Source organism: Homo sapiens, chromosome 1 (genome assembly GCF_000001405.40).
Source record: "Homo sapiens chromosome 1, GRCh38.p14 Primary Assembly".
In the NCBI taxonomy this organism is placed as follows: domain Eukaryota; kingdom Metazoa; phylum Chordata; class Mammalia; order Primates; family Hominidae; genus Homo; species Homo sapiens.
In genome coordinates, this window is record NC_000001.11 from 3,022,904 (window position 1) to 3,024,884 (window position 1,981).

At 49.0% G+C, this 1,981-nt stretch overlaps 1 annotated feature.

The window, feature by feature from the left end:
• Positions 1,446 to 1,615: an enhancer, noted in NCBI's record as "experimental_6552 CRE fragment used in MPRA reporter constructs". NCBI's record gives its function as "activates a minimal promoter by MPRAs in K562 erythroleukemia cells, with activity observed for both the introgressed and non-introgressed 1:2940998 variant alleles {active_cell/tissue: K562}" and the evidence as "EXISTENCE:reporter gene assay evidence [ECO:0000049][PMID:34662402]".

Sequence of the window (1,981 nt, forward strand, 5' to 3'; positions counted from 1 at the left end):
CACCTGGCCACCTCGGCTCAGTTCCTTCTTGGGGGCGGCAGAGTCATTTCTGGCCCTGACAGTGAATCTGTGAAGTGTCTTGGTCCACACCCGCTCCCCTTCGCTTCCTCCCAAGAAAGCCTGGGCTGAGGCCAGGCTGTGTCCATCTGCAGTTTGTATGAAAGTAGGGCCCTGGGCCTCAGGTGAATAGGGCGCTGGAGTCCGCATTCTAAACAAGGGTCTTAGGTGGGCTGAGAGAGTCGGCAGGGATGGTGGGGACTAGCGCGTGCACCAGGTTCTGACGGCTCAGCAAGAAACCCCTCCCTGTGTGGGCCCTACCTAGCATGCCAGGGCCGGGGCTCTGCTTGTGTGAGGCCGGGCGGCTGAACAGGGTGGAGCTGCCGCTCTCAGCAGATAGGAACAGACGGGAACAGAAGTCACCGTTTGTTTAGGGCCCTCTAAACTCAGGGGTCCTGCTCCCAAAGGAAGTACAAAGAATCAACACTTCTGCTTAGCAAGTGTGATTCTTCTGTTTGTTTTTACTTTCAGTGATGTTTATAGCATCATTGTTTGGGGGCAGAATGCTGGAAACAAAGTTAATGGCCATCACCAATGTTAACGGTTGAGTAAATTATGCATGGAGGGAATTTTTCCACATTGATGTGGTGGAATTAACCCAAAATATTATTGGGAGAGAAGTGGAAAATACAGATAACTCTTTACGCCATGGTCCTTCCCTTGGTTTTTTGGAAAAGAAAACAGCGCCCCTTCCCCATGTCTTTGCCTATGTCCGCTGCTTCGTGTGGACCCATACCTGTGTTCTATGTGGTTACCAAGTGCATGCACTGTGGGTTCCAGCATGTCGCCAAGGGAAGAGGGAGGGAGACGCAATGCAGGCGGAAAGAAGAAAGGAGAAAAAAGTACTCAGGAAATTCAGCCTGAATGAAATAAACCCATTTACCTGAAATGCGTGTGTCTTTCAATCTTCACAAAGTGCATCTTTTTCCACCATTTCACTTTCAACCGACCTATGCTGTTGGAAGTGAGCATGGGGCTGGTGTGAAGACGGCGTATAGCTGGGTCGTTTTCTTATCCACCCTACCAATCTCTGCCTTTCAGTTGGTGTATTTAGTCCATTTACCTGGTAACTCATTGATACACGGAATCTCAAGTCTGCCATCTGATCACTCTCTGCTGTGTCTTCTGCTTCTCATTCCTGTTTCTCTTTTCTTACCTCCCTCTGGGTTACTGGAACATGTTTCAGGATTGTGTCTTGATTTATTTAGCGTGTTTAGAGTACCTCGTTTTTGTAGGTTTCTTAGTGGTCACCCTGGGTATTACGCCGTATATGCCGGGATGTATATGATGTCACAAGCTACGGGCATTGACATGGTACCATTAGAGGGAAACGTGAAACCTTCTTCTGTCCGGGACCCTTCCCCCTCACCTCTAAAACACAGTTGTCTTGTCTGCTGTGTGTGCACTGAATGCAACATCAGGGGGGCTGAGATTTTTCCTTCAACCATCAAATATGATTTAAGAAGCTCGTCAAGTCGAATCTATTGACCCCTATTTTTACCCAATCTGGTGTTCTTTTGTCCTGTCTGAAGCCCAAGACTCATTGTGCTGTTATTCCTCCTGTGTTTAGAGAGCTTCCTGCAGCCATTCTGCAAAGATAGGACACTGGCAACAGAATCTTTGCCTTCCTTCAACTGAGGTGACTTAATTTCTCCCTCATCCCTGAAGGCTGTGTCCACTGCAGTGGAATCTGCAGGTCACCGTTTCCTTTCAGCTCTCGGGCTCTCCAGCCGCCTGGTTTCGATCAGGCATCCTCTGTTATTCGCTGGGCTCCCCAGGTCATGGGTCAGGTCTCTGTGGCTGCTTCAGAGTTTTCACTGTCTCTAGATTTCAGAAGTTTAATTTTGATGCGTCTCGGAGTGGATTTCTTTGGGCTTATCCCATCACCTTTTCCCACCGCGTGAATGCTGGGGGTTCACATCCC